The following is a 20,127-nucleotide window of genomic DNA, read 5'->3' as shown; positions in this document are numbered from 1 at the left end:
CGGGGCAGGGGACGGATCCATGTAGCAAGACATAATGGGCACTTTTTCATTTGTTTGTTTGTTTTTTAGATGGAGTCTCACTCTGTTGCCCAAGTTGGAGTGCAGTGGTGGATCTCCGCTCACTGTAACCTCTGCCTCCTGGGCTTAAGGAATTCTCCGGGCTCAAGCAATTCTCCAGCCTCAGCCTCCAGAGTAGTTTGGGATTACAGACATGTGCCACCATGCCCAGCTAATTTTTTGTTTGTTTGTTTGTTTGTTTGTATTTTTAGTAGAGATGGGGTTTTGCCATGTTGGCCAGGCTGGTCTCGAACTCCTGACCTCGAATGATAATGATCCGCCCGCCTTGGCCTCCCAAAGTGCTAGGATTACAGGTGTGAGCCACTGCGCCAGGCCTGGGCACTTTCTTTAGTAGTTTGAGGAGCAACATTTTTGACAGTGTCCTTCTGCTCAAGATTCAGATCCCAGATAAAATTAAACCATCTAGAGAGATGGCTTGATTGGCCAAACCTGGATCTCATGACCACTTCTTGAAGTGGGTAAGTCTCATAAATGCTCAGTCCTTCCACTATGCAACTGAGTGGGGTGGGTGGGAAGCCCCTCAAAGGAAAATCCGGTTGTTCTTACTAGAAAGAAAAGGAAAATGGATGTGAGGCAGTCAAAATCAGCAGAGGTCCACCACACCACCAAAATGTGGTGATTAAATATGGAGAGACAGAGACTAACAGAGGTATGTGAATATTGAAGTATGTCTGGACAATAGCCCAATGATGAGACCAATAAAATGGTTACCAAAATCTGGTTTTGAGTAGTAGTGTTAAATCAGACCATTTAGTAACCATTTTTTGTTGCAAAGTTTCTAGCACTGCCCAAACCCTGAGTGGTATATGAATAACTCGTCCATTATGTATCTCTTTCCAGTCAGCATAATTTATCCCCCACCTATATTCTTTTCTGACCACTCCTACTTCCTTCTCTTTACCAAAATCTAAACTCTAAGGCTGTTTCTTCAGCAACTTCTTTGTTTAGATTGGAAGATAAATTAAACAGCATGCGATGTTTTACTGACTTTCAGTATTTAACAGAGGTGATTTAATTTTTTTTTAAATCCAAAGTCAAACTTCTTTATAAGATGAAGGAGAAAAATGTCTTATAAAATGCATATGTGAAGATGCCTTCTGAGTGCTTTCTCATGCAGACTTGTTCTAGTCTTTAATGAATCTTCCTTGTAGACACTGTGGAGATGAAAGATGGTTCTCCACTTCTACTCAAAGTACAAATCAGGCCGGCATTTTGAAAAAGAGACAGGTTTATTCATAGCTGCAGCGTTAGCTGGCTTTGTTCCCTGTACAATTTCACTTTTGGTTATTAAAATATTCACTGTAGGAAATAAATTTGTAACCCATTTCTCATATTACCTACACACAGAAAAACAAAATTTGATATCCTGGGGTTTATTTGCTGAGGGCGCTTCCCATAAAAGCGAGAGAGTGTGCGTTGGGAAATGTGTCTGGTTAACTCTTTTATGGATAAACTTTAGTCACAATCCTCCCCCGCCCCCCTCTCACCCCCAGCACCCTCCCAACCTCCCGACTTCCCGCCTCTCAAGGGCTGGTGACCTAATAGCATTTTTCTTCGTGCATATTTTGGCGTCGCCCCATGGCCTGGCTGCCTTCGCCTGTCTGAGTTTTTTGAAATTCCTGCATGTTCGCCCCAGATTAAGCCAGTGTGTCTCAGGATGTGTGTTCCGTTTTGTTCTTTCCCCTTAACGCTCCCTGTGCAACGTGTCTGGGGGGAGGAGGGCAGGGACGGGAGAGAGGGAGGGGCAGAGGCGAGGAGCTGTCCGCCTTGCACGTTTCCAATCGCATTACGTGAACAAATAGCTGAGGGGCGGCCGGGCCAGAACGGCTTGTGTAACTTTGCAAACGTGCCAGAAAGTTTAAAATCTCTCCTCCTTCCTTCACTCCAGACACTGCCCGCTCTCCGGGACTGCCGCGCCGCTCCCCGTTGCCTTCCAGGACTGAGAAAGGGGAAAGGGAAGGGTGCCACGTCCGAGCAGCCGCCTTGACTGGGGAAGGGTCTGAATCCCACCCTTGGCATTGCTTGGTGGAGACTGAGATACCCGTGCTCCGCTCGCCTCCTTGGTTGAAGATTTCTCCTTCCCTCACGTGATTTGAGCCCCGTTTTTATTTTCTGTGAGCCACGTCCTCCTCGAGCGGGGTCAATCTGGCAAAAGGAGTGATGCGCTTCGCCTGGACCGTGCTCCTGCTCGGGCCTTTGCAGCTCTGCGCGCTAGTGCACTGCGCCCCTCCCGCCGCCGGCCAACAGCAGCCCCCGCGCGAGCCGCCGGCGGCTCCGGGCGCCTGGCGCCAGCAGATCCAATGGGAGAACAACGGGCAGGTGTTCAGCTTGCTGAGCCTGGGCTCACAGTACCAGCCTCAGCGCCGCCGGGACCCGGGCGCCGCCGTCCCTGGTGCAGCCAACGCCTCCGCCCAGCAGCCCCGCACTCCGATCCTGCTGATCCGCGACAACCGCACCGCCGCGGCGCGAACGCGGACGGCCGGCTCATCTGGAGTCACCGCTGGCCGCCCCAGGCCCACCGCCCGTCACTGGTTCCAAGCTGGCTACTCGACATCTAGAGCCCGCGAAGCTGGCGCCTCGCGCGCGGAGAACCAGACAGCGCCGGGAGAAGTTCCTGCGCTCAGTAACCTGCGGCCGCCCAGCCGCGTGGACGGCATGGTGGGCGACGACCCTTACAACCCCTACAAGTACTCTGACGACAACCCTTATTACAACTACTACGATACTTATGAAAGGCCCAGACCTGGGGGCAGGTACCGGCCCGGATACGGCACTGGCTACTTCCAGTACGGTAAGTACCCCCAAGTCCGCTGGAAGCACCCGTGCACCTGGTCCCCAGCTATGTGGCTTCTCGACGTGGCTGCCTGGGCGCGGCGGGCCCCGGTCCTCGCAGATCCGATCCCTCCCCCACGCGCCTGCAGTGGCAGCCCTGGAATCCAGTGCAAACCGCGCGTCTGGCCCCTCCTGCTTCCTTTTCACATTGCTTTGCAGTCCCGGGCGTCCCCAGTTCTCTTGCTGTCCTCCGCTCCACTCTGCAGTCCCGGTGGGCGAAGGGTGAGGAGTAAGGGACCTAGAGGGGTAGGGAGTTGGAGCGGGGGGCGCCGGGTTGTTTCACTGCTGCGCCCGTCGCCTGCTGACGTTTAGGTCTCCCAGACCTGGTGGCCGACCCCTACTACATCCAGGCGTCCACGTACGTGCAGAAGATGTCCATGTACAACCTGAGATGCGCGGCGGAGGAAAACTGTCTGGCCAGGTACGGGCTGATATGTCTGAGGCCCCGCTCCCCGGTCTACCTTCAGGGGGCGCTCTGGTGCCTGGTTCTGACTGCTACTGCTTCGCGCAGACAAGTGTTAGGAAGTGGGACAAGAGCTGGGAAGTGGGACGTGACCTCCTGGGCATGCTGACCTGGACGGAGAGTTAATATTTTTGAAGATTTCTGTGGGTTCTGTCTCAAAGTGCAGCAGGAATCACAGAGGTGGAGGAAACCCTTATCCTGGAGACTGAAAGTCTCATGCTCTTTTTCCAAGATACTTAAACTTGGGAGTCAATTGTTCCAATCACTTTTCATAAAACAACTATACAGTAATTCAAAAAATTTATTGTAATGGAAGGGTGTGTTAATACCCCCTTAAAAGATTCGGGGCAAATTTGCCATCGTAGCCTCATTGGTAAAGACTAAGTTTTCCTCTTTTGTTTGAGACCACGATGAACTTGGTTGTTTTGGTATTACTTCAGCCAGAATAAGACCGTGAGCAAGAGCTTTGTTTTTCCACTATTCTAAAATAAAATAGTAACTCTGGGATTGGGGTTCTCTGGGTTTACTGCTGGGAAACAGCAGAGGGAGCAAAAGATGTTTTAATAAAAATTTAAAGTGTAAAATAAGGTCATCAATACCACCTGAACATATAGACACACTAAATATATTAGTAGGAACACAGTGATGTTTATTTGTACATTTCTTCCACTTTGACCCTTTATAATTGTCAGGCTAAAGGAAGTGAAGAAATCCAAGCTCATTTTCATTCCTGAGTCTTGCATCACTCACACCATTGAACTCCCTATGATGTTTTTACAGTACTGCCATTGTTTTGGGATAGTGAAGTTACAAAATTATTAATTTAAATCTGGGTATGCTCTTTTAGAGTTATTTCCTCAGTTTGCAGCTCATTAACTTTTTTAAAAGTTTTGTTAAGTTTGAAGTTTGTAATAAACATCTATGAATTATTTTTTTTATTGGGGGATTATTTCCACTTCAGTTTCACTCATTCATATGATCAAACTTGAATTGATTCTAAAGTTTACTTCTGACATTTAGATTTTTAATGCTTATTATGTTTTTACTGTTAAGATCTGTGGATTTCCATAGGTGTTATTCATTCACTTATTCACCAAATATTCATTGAGCTCTGACTACTCCAAGACGGTTCTAGGAGCTTTGGATTCAGCAATGAACAAAAAGAAACAAAATGCCTTAGACTCTTGGAACTGATAGTCTAGTTGGGAAAGGAGGATTGTCACTACTATATAATGGATGTTTTATTTGTAGTTTTGTCTTTAGTTAATATTCCATGAATATAATAATTTTTCTTTTTTCAAAATCACAGTACAGCATACAGGGCAGATGTCAGAGATTATGATCACAGGGTGCTGCTCAGATTTCCCCAAAGAGTGAAAAACCAAGGGACATCAGATTTCTTACCCAGCCGACCAAGATATTCCTGGGAATGGCACAGTTGTCATCAGTAAGTAAATGGGCCTCCTGGGTACTTTTGGGTTGCTTTTCATTTCTCAGGTGATTTTTGATATCACAAATGCAAGTCTTATTTCTTACCTGAAGGGAGAAAATTGCTATTACTTATATTTAGAATTTTTCTCTATGTAATTTCACATAACCCATCTACTACAAGATCCTGTTATCTTTTGAAATGGAAAATCTGAAGCCCAGCTTATTAAAGCTGTTGATAGGATACAGCAATTGACTTCAATAAAATTTACTCCAATGCATTACAGATAGGATTTCTTTAAAAGTCCATTACAGCCAAGATCATCTAAAGTTAGTTAGCATTAAATAGCATTTCATAAAGACCACACGTTTTTTATCACAAGCATTCAGAAACCATTCTCAAAGAAAGATGTAGATGATACATCCCATCAGCTCAGAAGGACCTTCTTCCATCTTTTAAAAGACCTGTATCAAGCCCAAGGTGGTTGCCTTTTCTATCCTAAATTTAAGGATTTTTGCATAAGGTAATTCTATCATTTGCCTTAGTAACTTGCCTGGGTGTTTATTTTCAGGAAATCCTCATGTGTGGCCTTAAACTTACTTCCTGAAATCCAAGCCAGTCCTCATTGTTTTTTCCTTATGTGGGAAGATGAACAGCTCAGCACCTTCCATTTAATGAAATAACAAAAGTAGATATAAGTCCCTTAATTTCCTGATAAAATAGGAATATTTTATTTCTAAATAAAAGTGTGTACTATTTAAATAATAATGGTGGATAAAACATGCCATGAGTTCTCCCTTGCTTTTCACTAATGATTTTAAATATGTGAGAACTCAATTTTTTAAAATCTCATAGAAACCTTGAAAAAGTCATGTGCTGCTTTTCGGAATGAAACATCAGCAGTGGCAGCCAAGGGGAATACACTAGAGAACACAGGGCAAGTTTCACTTAAGCACAGATAATTTATTGTCCATTTCTATTTAATATTCAAAGACAAAATGGGGTACAATAAGAAAGCAAAATACTGAACTAAGTCTTTTGTCCTAGTAGCAAAGTTAAACCTTACAATTTTGATAGACTTATGTCCTGGGGAAAAAAAAACCCTAGCATGAATCTCTCTTTTAGAAGATAAATTTGGTCTCAATTTTAATGTGAAAACAAATTTGTGAAGCCATGGGGGAAGTCATTTAATATCTTCATTGCTTTCTCTGTATGTAACTGACCACCATCTTTTTGTTTTGTGGGACATCAGACATTACCACAGTATGGATGAGTTTAGCCACTATGACCTGCTTGATGCCAACACCCAGAGGAGAGTGGCTGAAGGCCACAAAGCAAGTTTCTGTCTTGAAGACACATCCTGTGACTATGGCTACCACAGGCGATTTGCATGTACTGCACACACACAGGTATGTTGGCACCCTGAAATCCAGAACCTCAAGCCTCAGAGAGAAACGGGTCATCTACCGTTAGTTAGCATTAAATAGCATTTCATGAAGAGCACACACATTTTTATCAAAAGGATACAGAGACTGTTCTCAAAGAAAACTGTAGATGATATACCCCATGAGTCTAGTATTTTCTTTCCTCTCACCTCTCTTTTATAAAGCATTCAATTTGAGGTCCATGTTGTTAAGATGTAAAATAATTGGGAAAAGGCAAATGATGGCTTGATGATCCAAATTACTTTTGAAGTATTTCCAGTTATGCATGTGGCCCCTATTCATGATCACAGGTCAGTGTGGGTCCTTGTTACAGTCCACAATGAAGAACAAAAATTTACTCTCTGAAAAAGTCTGAATGGTTGACAACATATGCACCCATTCTGTATTCCTTAACCGGCTTAGTAAATAACTGTAAAAAAAGATATCTCTGTTTTTTCACCTGTGAAACCATTCCTTCCTTCTGTTTTATGCTGAAAATAGAATAGTGGTTGCGGTTAGCAAATGGAGGAAAAATAAGTTTCTTTAAAAGCACTTTAAAAAGTTGCCTCTTTTAATAATGCAAATAAGAGCAGAAGGACACCATTTCTTTCTCCACACATATATATTTAAATCTACAGTATAATTGATGTCAGATGTTGTTTGGATGGATTTTTTTAAAGTAGTGCTGAACTAAGCAGTTTGCATGTTTTATCATTGGAAAATGCGTGTCAGTTAAAATCTATGTCAGTATTTCCATATGAAACCCTAATTTGTAAAAGGACATTATAATTTGACTCCCGCCCAGATCTTGGCAAGGGGTAGTGAATGTACATAACTGAGGGTATGAAGGGATCAGCAGTTGGCATCTTGGGAAGCAAATTCCAGGGCTGTGGCAGGAAGCTGTTTGGTGACCTAAATGTTACCATTGCTTTTTTCTCTGAGCTTAGAACATCATAGCAATTGGAGGGGGAAAGGTTAACTTCTACATGCCCCAGGACAGTACTTACTTAAGAAAGAGGAGATGTAACTTACCCACACATTATTCATGTGTGCATATACAGATTCCCTTTTCAGTGATCTGCAAGTCCTGTGCAAGGGACCTAGAGTTTATTTGCCCCATTTACAAAAAGAGGCACTCTGGACAGCTCACTCTGAAATATTTGAAGCTGGGATTGTAGACATTATAGCACTTCTGGTTCCCCCCCTTCTTTGGGGTGACCCCATTTCATTTTATATGGTAGCTTTCTTGTTAATCATCTTCCATATATGTTCTTTTTAACCATTATTCACCAAATCTTGCATTGAGCGATTTATATATTTGTTTTTTTCATTAGATCAATGTCTCTTTCACATGGACTTCATTTAAAGGAAAAAATAGTCTCTCAATCACCTAATGATGACTCAGATTAGTTTATTGTAATGCTGCTTAAATGTATTCAAGCATAAAACTAGGTATAACTTCTTTAGATTTATACTTTTACATATTAATAACTCTTGTGTTCTGAGACAAAAATTTACATATTAAATATATACGAAACTAAAACAGTTGAATTCACCTTATTAATTTAATGTAACAAATAGTATGTATTGCTAAAACTCAAATTGCTGATTTAGAGAGCCTCAGCTAACATTCAACATTGAATCTGTTTTTATATTTTGACTTTGCCTACATGAAATGCCTATTTGCCTTAGTAACTCGTTTTTGCTTGCTTGTGCAAATAATCAAAGCTTATACTTAAGTTCTGCCAGCTTATGAACTCGAGTGCCAATTTCAGCATTTTTAAGGCTCTTTTGTCTATTTGAAGGCAAGATAAGCACTGAAGCATTATGTAAACCCATCTTAAATGAATATCTAATCCAGTGAATCCTTTACAATGTCATGAACATTGTGGTAGTAGTAGAAGTAATAACTAGCACTTATTGAGTATGTATTATATGCCAGAATCAGAATTGTATGCTGGAATCAGACCAAAAATTCTTCATTTTATATTTACTACTCAACATACTGTTAAGTGATGTATGGATCAAGGTAGGAATCTAGATAATAACAACAGAATATGAGTCTCACTGCTGTGACACTGACCCTTCTGAGTTGGGCCTGTCTGTGCTATTGTGTGCTCTATGACAGCACAATTCTCCCCTGCTCTTCCCAAATCAAGCTACAGCTAAACCAGCATTGGTAGAGCATGCTAAGGTGATTTTACTGTCTCTTGGGTGACCAAAGTGATCTTAAACAGCAAAGCAATATTGGTTGCTAGAATTGAATGGCAGTATTGAGTTAAAATGAATCTAGCATGTACTTTGAATTTAAATTACTATTAGAATAAAAATACAAGTTAAAACTTTTTGTGAAGAACTAATGGAATCAAGAATATACCTACAGACTCCAATCTGAGGAAACTTCTCTAGACTATAACATTCTTAAAAGCAAGGATTGTATTTGTTATATTTTTCTCCTCCCAGCCTGTAGAAGGCATTCATTTACTTATTGATGTGAATATTTTAGCAAGTGGAGTGATGTGGCATTCATCAATTTAGTCATGCATTTACCCCTTCAACAAAATATGTCATATTTCAGTGACTGTATGAGAGAGAGTATAGTGGGGTAGTTAAGAACAGGGACTCTGGACCTTGATTACCTAAACTCAAAACCAGCTTAGCCACTTACTAGGCTGGATACCCTTGGGTAAGTTATTTGATCTTAGTGTGCCTTAGTTTTCTCATCTATAAAATGGAGATAATAGCCCCTCATGTAGTTGTGAAAATTGAATTTTTATACACACACACACACACACACACACACATATAAATGTTTACGATTGTTCCTGCCACATACTATTTAATAAATGTTAGTTATTCAAAGATACAACGTAAACTCTACCCTTAGGGAACTTGCAGCCTCTGGTTAGCTATATTCTTACATAGCATGTTATAATGCAGAGCAAAAAGGGATAAACACTGTAAAAGCTATCCACAATAAAAAGTATCATGGACGTTCAAAGCACAAGAAGGTAATTTCCAAAAGGGGAAACTGGGGAGGATTTCACTGAGAAGAGGACATTTGAGCTAAGATAATTATTATGTGGCCTTTATTCCTGAACTGTTAAAATTCTAGAACTTTGGTAGAGGCCTATTTTGTTCCTTCAGATTGCATTTATCTCTGGTGATATATGACACTTTTAAGAAGTGAGGTGTACTACTACTTATATTAGTCCTGTATCTTTTTTAGCTGGAGGTGCTATAAGGCTGAGTAATAAATACTTCTCAAGGGAGATGAAATATAAGTATAGTTTTATGTCAGACTCTTGTAAGTACTAACTTAAAATTTAATTTGCAAATAATAGCATATTATTTATCATAGTCTGACCACATACCATAATTTTAAATTTTTTATTTTGTTTATCTTAGGGATTGAGTCCTGGCTGTTATGATACCTATGGTGCAGACATAGACTGCCAGTGGATTGATATTACAGATGTAAAACCTGGAAACTATATCCTAAAGGTAAAGACCTTTGAAAATATATCATATATTGATATTGCAGATCAATAGGCCCTCTTCTCTGGATTCAAATGTTAAATAATCATGGTATTGGAAGCAATTATACATCCTCAAACTATTTATAAACAATCTAATCTAATCTAATCTGTCTTATTTTAAAGAACTTCAGGGGAAAATATGCAGTCTCTTTCCATAACGTCTCCAGAGTTTAACCACTTACTTAAGTTAAAATCCCTTCCCTGCTTGATTTAGCTAAGTCCTCATTAACAATTTCCTTATTGTAGCCCTATGGAAAAAGAAATACTGAGGAACTCTTTGTGTTGCCCAGGTCAGTGTAAACCCCAGCTACCTGGTTCCTGAATCTGACTATACCAACAATGTTGTGCGCTGTGACATTCGCTACACAGGACATCATGCGTATGCCTCAGGCTGCACAATTTCACCGTAAGTGTTATTTGCTTAGCTAAGTAATTGTTGTCACAAATAATTTTTGTTCATGCCAAACATTATACATAGAATGTATCTGTTTCTGCTACTACAGCAGCTTTCTTGTAAGCAGACCAAAGGCAGAAAATGGTATGCAGTCTGATTTTATTTTTTTAAATAATGGAAGGCAAAGGAGAATGTACTAAGGTTTTTAGTTTTCAGGAGAAGCTTAGTTTTCAGGAGAAGACATAAACAGACCACAGTGTTTACCCAGAAGGCATTTGTGAAGGCCCAATATATCAAATTGCTCAATATGTAGAGTGGGTGAGCTTGTAGAAGCCCCAGTAGTTGCTTCTTGGCCCCTTCCTCGCAGTCCCTGAAAGAATTGCTAGGGTTCTTCAAAGTACATTTTGAAAACCACTGCCATAAAGTAAGCAACTGAAGAGTTCAGCCCCCTCTGGTCTGTACAAATCAAGATGTCATATATTTGAGTTCTAGAACCATTGATACTAGGAAAATACTCTGCAAAAGATTGAGGTGTGTGGAGGTTTCTTCATAATATTCCTACTCCTGAGACTCTTCTTAGAATGAAATACTGGAAGATATCTATTCACAGGGAGGTGCTCTGATGAAAATAATGAAAAAAGGTTGGGTAGGTTTGACTGCATGCCTGTCTGTCCTGCCCCATCTCCTTAAGCACTACCTCCCCAAGTGTTGCTGGGTGCTAGATTATAATTACATATGCCACTTGAGTTATGCCTTCCCAACAATGAGAATACTATTTCCATTGGAATGATACTCAACACTCATCAGCTTTGCTTTGTCACTGGAGAACCACCAGTGCCACTGGATCATACAGACAGGTATAGCAGAGCTATACTAGAATCTCATAATTAATAGAAATTTCTGCCTGATACAAAAACCCAGGACTTTCTACATAAAGAAGCAGAGACTGTGCTTTACAAGTGTTGTCACAACATTAGAGATAGATGAAGCCTGTGATAGCAAAAGGATAGCACTGAAAAAACAGAGTCACATACATTCTTCTGAACATGCCCACAGCACAGAAAACCTGGCAGGTTTTATGGCCCATATTGTGTGGAGTTGGTTATAGTAGAACCAACCCCCGACCCCCACCGCCAGAACACCATTATAATTTAAGCTAAAATAATTTGCACTTAAATAAACAGATTAGTTTTTTCTTAATTTTTATAATTCCTTAATTTATTCATCCATTCTCCATTTATTTATTCATTTGCACTCTCATTTTTGTACTGTTTGTTGATGCCCTGAGCTAGATATTACTGAATAATGCAAACATAAATAGGACTACTAATCTCTATACTGCTGTAGCCTTATTACACTATTTTCAGTTAATTACTTATGAATTTCTTTGTTTAATGTCTGTCTCCTGCTCTACTCAGTGATGGCTGTGATTTAGTCTCTTGTCCACTGTTGTATACCCATTGTCAGGTACAGGTCTGCCACCTTGCAGCCTCTCACTCACTGCTTAATGAATTTCTTTCTCAAATAATTTGAGTAAAGGCATTTTGAGTAGGGGAAGTGAGAGAATTACACATATAACTGTAATAGAGATACAATATGAGAAGTTTCATGAGGGATAAAATAAAATGTGGTGAGATCAGAAGGACCTTTGCTATAAGTTTGGTAACTCCCAACTATGTCTTACTGACTTCCCACTAGAAATAGGTCTGGAGAGGTCTGTTGCATAGAATGTCTCTTGCTTTTAATCAGTAGAATCCATTGAATTGGGTATTGCTAGATATTTAGAAGAAATAAAAATTGTTGTATTGCTCCAGCAATATGACTGTACAAGAGGGATTCCTGATGTGGTCACTCATATAGAGTTGAATTTTTTTTTTTTTTTTTTTTTTTACTAGTTATTACTGACTGTAACAAACTTCAAGAGTGGTTGAAGCTGGAATGTTTATAACTAATATAAACCAGATGAAAATATGAAAAGTGAAATTATAATTAGTGATCATAATAAAATGTCATACTTATTCTGAGTGGAAATATTGGGGAAAGTATAGAATATTTGAGAAAAAAACCCCACACCTTCAGGATAGTAATACTTGCTTCTTACATTTTGACTTTCACATCAGGCCTTCCTTCCTAGGAATCAGAGTTCAGACAGAGGAGAGGTCTCTTTGGGCTGAGTTTCAGGAGTGACTTTAGGATACATTTGAATTGAGCCTTGAAGTCTGGGGAATGCACCGGGGAGCATTAAGGAAAGGAAGCCCAGGGCAAGTCAACGTCACAGGCAACTTGCATGGCAGGAGGAAACTGCAGGGCATGTTTGGAAAAACAAGTCTTCTAGTTTGGCTAAAGCATGAATTTTGTGGAGTTACGAGTTGGACAAAAAGGATGGAAAAGTAAGTTGAGCCAGATGGAAGACAGCCCTGAAGAGCAGGCTAAAATTTATTCTGGAGGCAGTGGGAGGCTGAAGCTTTTTGAGCAGGAAGTGTAACTTGCCTAAGGCCATCAGGTCAGTCTGGTGGCTGTGTAAGCAGCAGTGAGTGTGACTCTGAAGACATATCATGTATCAGTTCACTGATTGCTTTTCCTGCCAGATATTTAAGAGCATTCTGTTGATGTGTAAAAGCCACCCAGTAAATAGTTGAATAGGTATGTGCTGTTAATGTACCCTCTCTCCTTCATTTTCCTCACTGAAACAAAATGTACGGACCAGGTGACTCTGAGGCTTCTTTCAGTTATAAGATACTATGTAAGTTTTTTTTTTTCTCCTCACAGAATTTACTGTTTGGAAATTGGTAGTTTATGATTTGAATAAGTGAATTTTCACTTCCTTACATGAAGATCTATGGTCACATTTAAAGACAGTAATATTTGATTGATTAGCTTTGGTCCAGTTTCTGCCTATTAATGTATTATTCTACATCCAAAGCCATGCTGGAGAAGGACTAATTCAAGATGGAGCAGAGGCCTTGACTCTACTTCTTGGTGGACATGCCACCCTTGTTCCATGGAATGAATTCCCCTGGTCAGGGATGCTGGTCCCAGAAGTCCTGCTGTACTCTTGAGTGTTTCAGAAGTGGTTTCTTTGCCTCTAAATGTGAAGAGTGTAGGCATCAGGCATCTCTGCTGTTGACATAGTCACTTTCTTCAAACCATTATTAAAATGATGTACTACTGCATAATTTCACAACATGATTGCTGCTTAGGTGGAGGGAAACTGTTGCATAAAGTTTTTAAAAGGTTGACTTTAAATTTGTCTGTTGTACTCATTCATTATATTATCAGGTTAATAATTTGTCTTATTTTGTCTTCTTAATCTAGGTATTAGAAGGCAAAGCAAAACTCCCAATGGATAAATCAGTGCCTGGTGTTCTGAAGTGGGAAAAAATAGACTAACTTCAGTAGGATTTATGTATTTTGAAAAAGAGAACAGAAAACAACAAAAGAATTTTTGTTTGGACTGTTTTCAATAACAAAGCACATAACTGGATTTTGAACGCTTAAGTCATCATTACTTGGGAAATTTTTAATGTTTATTATTTACATCACTTTGTGAATTAACACAGTGTTTCAATTCTGTAATTACATATTTGACTCTTTCAAAGAAATCCAAATTTCTCATGTTCCTTTTGAAATTGTAGTGCAAAATGGTCAGTATTATCTAAATGAATGAGCCAAAATGACTTTGAACTGAAACTTTTCTAAAGTGCTGGAACTTTAGTGAAACATAATAATAATGGGTTTATATATGTCATAGCATAGATGAATTTAGAAACAATGCTCCTACTGTTTAAATACATATGGACACATCTGGTGCTGAGAAAGAAACAAACACATTACCATTGGTGTCAAGAAATATTACTATATAGCAGAGAAATGGCAATACATGTACTCAGATAGTTACATCCCTATATAAAAAGTATGTTTACATTTAAAAAATTAGTAGATAACTTCCTTTCTTTCAAGTGCACAATTTCATTTTGACTTGAGTCAACTTTTGTTTTGGAACAAATTAAGTAAGGGAGCTGCCCAATCCTGTCTGATATTTCTTGAGGCTGCCCTCTATCATTTTATCTTTCCCATGGGCAGAGATGTTGTAAGTGGGATTCTTAATATCACCATTCTTGGGACTGGTATACATAAGGCAGCCGTGAAACTGGAAAGTCATTTTGATGACTGATGTGATACATCCAGAGGTAAAATGCATTTAAACATATTAAAGTATTTGCCAAAGATACAATTTTCTTGCTGACATAAAAATCACACAAACAAGTCCCCCCCAAACCACAACTGTCTCTCAAATAGCTTAAAAAAATTGAAAAACATTTTAGGATTTTTCAAGTTTTCTAGATTTTAAAAAGATGTTCAGCTATTAGAGGAATGTTAAAAATTTTATATTATCTAGAACACAGGAACATCATCCTGGGTTATTCAGGAATCAGTCACACATGTGTGTGTGTCTGAGATATAGTCTAAATTAGCAAAGCACATAGTATTACATACTTGAGGGGTTGGTGAACAAAGGAAAAATATACTTTCTGCAAAACCAAGGACTGTGCTGCGTAATGAGACAGCTGTGATTTCATTTGAAACTGTGAAACCATGTGCCATAATAGAATTTTGAGAATTTTGCTTTTACCTAAATTCAAGAAAATGAAATTACACTTTTAAGTTAGTGGTGCTTAAGCATAATTTTTCCTATATTAACCAGTATTAAAATCTCAAGTAAGATTTTCCAGTGCCAGAACATGTTAGGTGGAATTTTAAAAGTGCCTCGGCATCCTGTATTACATGTCATAGAATTGTAAAGTCAACATCAATTACTAGTAATCATTCTGCACTCACTGGGTGCATAGCATGGTTAGAGGGGCTAGAGATGGACAGTCATCAACTGGCGGATATAGCGGTACATATGATCCTTAGCCACCAGGGCACAAGCTTACCAGTAGACAATACAGACAGAGCTTTTGTTGAGCTGTAACTGAGCTATGGAATAGCTTCTTTGATGTACCTCTTTGCCTTAAATTGCTTTTTAGTTCTAAGATTGTAGAATGATCCTTTCAAATTGTAATCTTTTCTAACAGAGATATTTTAATATACTTGCTTTCTTAAAAAACAAAAAAACTACTGTCAGTATTAATACTGAGCCAGACTGGCATCTACAGATTTCAGATCTATCATTTTATTGATTCTTAAGCTTGTATTAAAAACTAGGCAATATCATCATGGATACATAGGAGAAGACACATTTACAATCATTCATTGGGCCTTTTATCTGTCTATCCATCCATCATCATTTGAAGGCCTAATATATGCCAAGTACTCACATGGTATGCATTGAGACATAAAAAAGACTGTCTATAACCTCAATAAGTATTAAAAATCCCATTATTACCCATAAGGTTCATCTTATTTCATTTTTAGGGAATAAAATTACATGTCTATGAAATTTCAATTTTAAGCACTATTGTTTTTCATGACCATAATTTATTTTTAAAAATAAATTAAAGGTTAATTATATGCATGTATGTATTTCTAATAATTAAAAATGTGTTCAATCCCTGAAATGTCTGCCTTTTAAATATAACACCTACTATTTGGTTAATTTTGACGATTTTTTTTTTTCAATTAGGAAGCTAAAAATACTACTTTATTCCTTATATGAACATTCATCCCCCTCCTGGCACCTCTAAACACACCCAAATAACTCACAAGTACTGATTTAACACTCTGTATTACTGAACTTCTTTGAACTATTTTGAACTTTGAATCTCTTCTCTGAATAACTGCCGAAACTCAAAGATAATAATTAGTTGATGAAGGTTATCAATTAATAAAATAACACAGACCAGTCTTACCAAACTCTAAATACATTTTAAAAAATAGGAACTGGCAATGATAAAAAGAATGTTGAGTACTGACAGGAGATTGGCTTTTACACTAAAAAAGACAGAAAATGGACTAAATAGGAACATAATTTCAGAGTTTATGAGTCAGTTTACAATATGCCATATTAGCGATCTCATGATGATTCAGACCACAGTCTGGGTTAAAGATGTCTTGACCTCTGAGGCTAGCATAACATATATGAGAATACAACTTGCCTATTTCCAGAAAATCTGTATATTTTTATAGAATAACTTTATTTACAATTTCTATCATCCAATTACTCACTAGGCATTATTTGTAGTACTTTTTTTCTCTTTGAAATCTCATAGGATAGTCACACTTATAAACATTCCCAATATTCGGATTCTAGAAGAAATGCAATTCATTAAAATTTTCCTGGCACTGAGAGTTAATCTTTAGCAGATTGCATGAAAATACTGAATTCCTGGTAAGGAGATATTTTGTTTTAAAAATAATGTGTTTTGATACGAATCAGTGTATTAACTGATAACTAAAAAGTACTCTTTTTTCTATATATACATATTTTTTTGAACTCATATTCACAATCAACATATTCAATCAGTGAGTTAAGTCTCATTCCTAGCTACCAAAATTCCTGGGCCACTTTTAAACACTAAACATTTCATTTATCCTCTAAGCTAAAATGGTGCTGAGTTATTTAAATCTGAATGTAAAATGCATTAAATCTTAGCTTGTGGTATATAAACATTTAATTAATATAAAACTGCTTGCTATAAACTAAGTAACATGTCATTTGGTGTTAGGTTTTTAGTGAAGTTTTAGCTTCTCCCAAATTTTTCAGGAATGTTATTTGTAAGACGTGTAACTTTTTTGAAGAACTCTTATTTTAAATGCTCAGACATTGGCTTTATGTTCCTCTTTGCATTCTCATATTCTTTTATTATACATCTATACTATGATTGCAAGATTATATAAAAATGCCTTGAATAAATGATTTCAAGTGTCTATAGTAGTCATTTGTTGTTATATAAATAAATCATCTGATTTTCATTTTAGTTGAAATGTTATAAGCCATGGATATGGTGTTAGTTTCTCTTAATTGCCTTTTGTACTAAAAAATTGTTTAATTAGGTCACACTGGAAATTTGTCTATGATGGATAAAAATCTAGCTGATGTTTTAAGTAGACACTGTCATACATAAACTTTTATCACCAGTACCAGCTACTTATAAGGACACAGAGCAGGCATTGCAAGAACAATCACACTGCTTTAATTAAGGTTTACAAGAAATATATCTGACTATAGATATAAACACACACATACACACACACACATCTAATTCTAGCTACAAATTATTTGTATAAAGAGACACATTGCTATCATAGTAATCCTTATTTAAATATGCACCAGATTAGCCTGAAATCTGGTAACATGAGAGGGCAAACAGGCCCAAACTTTGGGCAAGTGTTTTGGGGGAACAACTCACAAAATTAACCCACAAAAACAATTCATCCTTAAGGAGTCTTGCAGGTAAAACAGATGTAGACTTCTGGCTGGCAATTTGCAGATTTGAGTTGTAGAATATCAGTGATACCTGAAACCACAAATGTCCTGCTTCTATCTCCTGCTCAAGGCAAAGCATCTGAATATGCTTTTGTTATTAATTCAAAGATGATTTCCTTTGTCTCATCAGCATACAGTGTTTCAAGCACTGTTCATTAATTAGCTCAGTAACCAAAGATAGGGGTGTGTAGATCTTTCCTTTTTGTCTGAAAACTTGTCTGCCTTTATGTGACTCATTTGTTAATACTTCTACTCCTTACCACAGATATTAGTAGAGGATTAACACACAGGTTGAATAAATCACTTTCATCGTAGTAATTTGTAGCTTAAAATCAGAGACCTTTCCCCATACTCCTTTTTAATTTGGAGAGCAAATAATATTTATATAGAATTAGGACAATATTGATTTCCTAAAGCATGTACTAAAGAGTTCCAGTTTCACAAGATACTCAGAAAGAATCCAATATTAAGTAAGTATGGGAAATGTTCTTTCCCATACTTTGGGAGATTCACAATACTTTTTAGCATATATAAGTGTCTGAGAAATCCTGCAGTAAAGAAACCACTTTGTTATCTAGTGTTTCTTAAATTTGTTTTGTCACGAGTCTTTTTTAAAATAGCACTTATTATCCTAGTATACAATTTTTGCTTGGAAAACTCTGGGATATACCATCTTAAGTAATTTTAAATTTGTAGAAATGAGATCATTTGGAATGTATTTAAAATAAATGTGGCAGCATTTGAGCTATAGGACATAAGGATACTGGATATCCAAAACTCACTAATTTACTGCCTGCTTCACTTTCTAAAAAACTACAGAACATGGTGAAATAGGACCTTTTCAGTGGAAAGGATTATTTAACTCTCTAAACCATGTTCTATTTTAGAAAAAAATATGTCTTTCCTATTTGTTAGATAACTTGAATGCTTTTAGGTACCGCTTATTAAAATCTCTTCCCTCACAAATCTTAGTTGTTTATAACACTAGGGTGAAACAATCATTTTCTTCATGGTTCATTCATTTTGTATACTTAAAATTATGTTATGCATAATTGCATAACTTAAGTAATTTTCAGTTAAAGTTTTGTACTTCCCATTGTGGGCAGAGAAAAATGGGACTGGAAATAAATGACTTGGAAGGATGTATTCATATATTTACAATTTGCTACAAATAATTTGTTTGTTTCTTAATTATGGGAAGTAGGCACAAAATTTGGAGAGAGAAAAAAATAGAGCTATATAACCAAAAAGAGAACCATTAAAACAATTACCAAGAATATGCCTGTGTCACTGTTAGAAACAATATTGCCAGTTCTCAATTTACATACCAAGTCGAACCAGAGCTCCTAACACAATTGTATAAGTAGGGGCTAAAGACAAATTTAACGATAGAGTCTGATAAGAGATCGTTTGTTTGAAAAAAATGAATCAAATAATGTTGGGTCTTCATATATATGTCTTTAGTGAATTAATGCATGAATCTTGAGTCTGACAATTTGGAGCCAATACTACCAGCTAGTGATCTGCAAACTGATGAGCTAAACCATTGCCACACAGCTAATATTGGAGTCAAGAATTTTCAATTATTTTTGACATTATTTTTTAGAATGATGATATTAGAAAAAACCCTTTTAAACTGATTTATTGTTGGGTTGGTGCTGGGGCTAAGATTCGTGAATGAAAAACAACCTGGTAGCTGTGATCACTTCACGTTTGTTTTAGGATTCTGGTTTCTGCCGACAGGCATATATCTTAAGCTTGCCTGGTCAAAAGAGCAATTTTGGGTTCATGTAACCAAAGGACAAGGGTGGAGTTTGCTGCAGGAGCAGATGGAACCAGGAAATCAAACACCAGCAAGATCACATTCTTGCTGTCTATTCTCTGTTTCTTTGTGAATCAACTTTATTTTCTTGGTTTCATTGAGGTTTCATGAAGATGCAAATCTGGTTGCCTGCAGACCGGGTTACATATGTACACAGCTTATTGACCAGAAAAAAGCGGCATTAACCTGTGCTCCAATTTGAAAAGCTCAGGGGAAGGTATTTCATAAGCTCAGTTTGTGTCATTTACCAATCCTTGACCCAGTCGTTGTAGATACTACAGCTGATACAAATCAAGTCAATTGCTCTTATTAATCACTGAAGTAAAAAAGGTGAGGTCAAGTAAGAGGATGCTTCAATCCAAACCACATGACTGCATTTTGGCTTATGTGTGGGTGTGATGGGAAAGTGGAGGAAAGGAAAATGATTGCCCAGATGAGGGTGAGTTATTATGGATATTGCCAATGAGAAAATTACCAGGACCATCAAGCCACCATGTTTACGTCCAGCAAAAAGATTAATAAAATCAACATCTACACAATCCAACTCAAAATATTTCCTTCCAGGCTGCTCACCTACCTGATTTCTGTTAAGAACCCCCTTATTCATAGTATCTAAGGCCTGACTTTCTCTCCAGAAAGAACTAATGCCACCATCTTCTCTACTTCCATATTACTTTCCTCCCCGTTTGCAGATCTAACTAGTCTGCTCATTCCCAC

The 20,127-nt window shown here is 38.0% G+C and overlaps 2 protein-coding genes across 4 annotated transcripts in view, besides 3 other annotated features; one reads left to right on the top strand and one right to left on the bottom strand.

Moving 5' to 3' along the window:
- The window catches only part of SRFBP1 (serum response factor binding protein 1), a 116,961-nt gene continuing 98,122 nt past the window's right edge, over positions 1,289-20,127 (bottom strand). Inside the window, exon 8 of the mRNA XM_017009111.3 lies at positions 1,289-4,909. Coding sequence (XP_016864600.2) covers positions 4,899-4,909 — 11 coding nt within the window. The 3' untranslated portion in view covers positions 1,289-4,898. The remainder of the gene's footprint in view (positions 4,910-20,127) is intronic.
- LOX (lysyl oxidase) lies at positions 1,965-17,029 on the top strand. Of its 3 annotated transcripts, NM_002317.7 has the most exons (7): positions 1,965-2,869; positions 3,223-3,331; positions 4,683-4,820; positions 6,055-6,211; positions 9,635-9,730; positions 10,056-10,171; positions 13,475-17,029. In NM_002317.7, exons 1-7 carry the CDS (start codon positions 2,239-2,241, stop codon positions 13,479-13,481), a joined length of 1,254 nt encoding a protein of 417 aa, NP_002308.2. In that variant the 5' UTR covers positions 1,965-2,238; the 3' UTR covers positions 13,482-17,029. The 3 variants fall into 3 exon arrangements, with proteins under 3 accessions (NP_002308.2, NP_001171573.1, NP_001304002.1); NM_001178102.2 differs by lacking the exon at positions 1,965-2,869 and having other exon boundaries at positions 3,001-3,331; NM_001317073.1 differs by lacking the exons at positions 1,965-2,869; positions 3,223-3,331 and adding an exon at positions 3,050-3,132.
- Positions 2,579-3,096: an enhancer, noted in NCBI's record as "H3K4me1 hESC enhancer chr5:121412823-121413340 (GRCh37/hg19 assembly coordinates)". NCBI's record gives its function as "activates a minimal SCP1, AML or CMV promoter by ChIP-STARR-seq in primed H9 embryonic stem cells {active_cell/tissue: H9 hESC(primed)}" and the evidence as "EXISTENCE:reporter gene assay evidence [ECO:0000049][PMID:30033119]".
- Positions 2,785-2,954: an enhancer, noted in NCBI's record as "active region_22994". NCBI's record gives its function as "activates an Ori minimal core promoter by ATAC-STARR-seq in GM12878 lymphoblastoid cells {active_cell/tissue: GM12878}" and the evidence as "EXISTENCE:reporter gene assay evidence [ECO:0000049][PMID:35858748]".
- Positions 3,097-3,614: an enhancer, noted in NCBI's record as "H3K4me1 hESC enhancer chr5:121412305-121412822 (GRCh37/hg19 assembly coordinates)". NCBI's record gives its function as "activates a minimal SCP1, AML or CMV promoter by ChIP-STARR-seq in primed H9 embryonic stem cells {active_cell/tissue: H9 hESC(primed)}" and the evidence as "EXISTENCE:reporter gene assay evidence [ECO:0000049][PMID:30033119]".

The sequence above is a fragment of the Homo sapiens genome, chromosome 5 (assembly GCF_000001405.40).
Source record: "Homo sapiens chromosome 5, GRCh38.p14 Primary Assembly".
NCBI lineage: Eukaryota > Metazoa > Chordata > Mammalia > Primates > Hominidae > Homo > Homo sapiens.
Note: the sequence above shows the minus strand (reverse complement) of the source record. Positions and strands in the feature narration are given on the sequence as shown.

What these genes read in the sequence shown, in the direction of transcription:
- LOX (NM_002317.7), top strand. Translation starts at nt 2,239, where the DNA reads ATGCGCTTCGCCTGGACCGTGCTCCTGCTCGGGCCTTTGCAGCTCTGC. An exon ending in GAGGAAAACTGTCTGGCCAG is followed by an intron (nt 3,332 to 4,682) that starts GTACGGGCTGAT and finishes TCAAAATCACAG; the next exon opens with TACAGCATACAGGGCAGATG. An exon ending in CATGTACTGCACACACACAG is followed by an intron (nt 6,212 to 9,634) that starts GTATGTTGGCAC and finishes TGTTTATCTTAG; the next exon opens with GGATTGAGTCCTGGCTGTTA.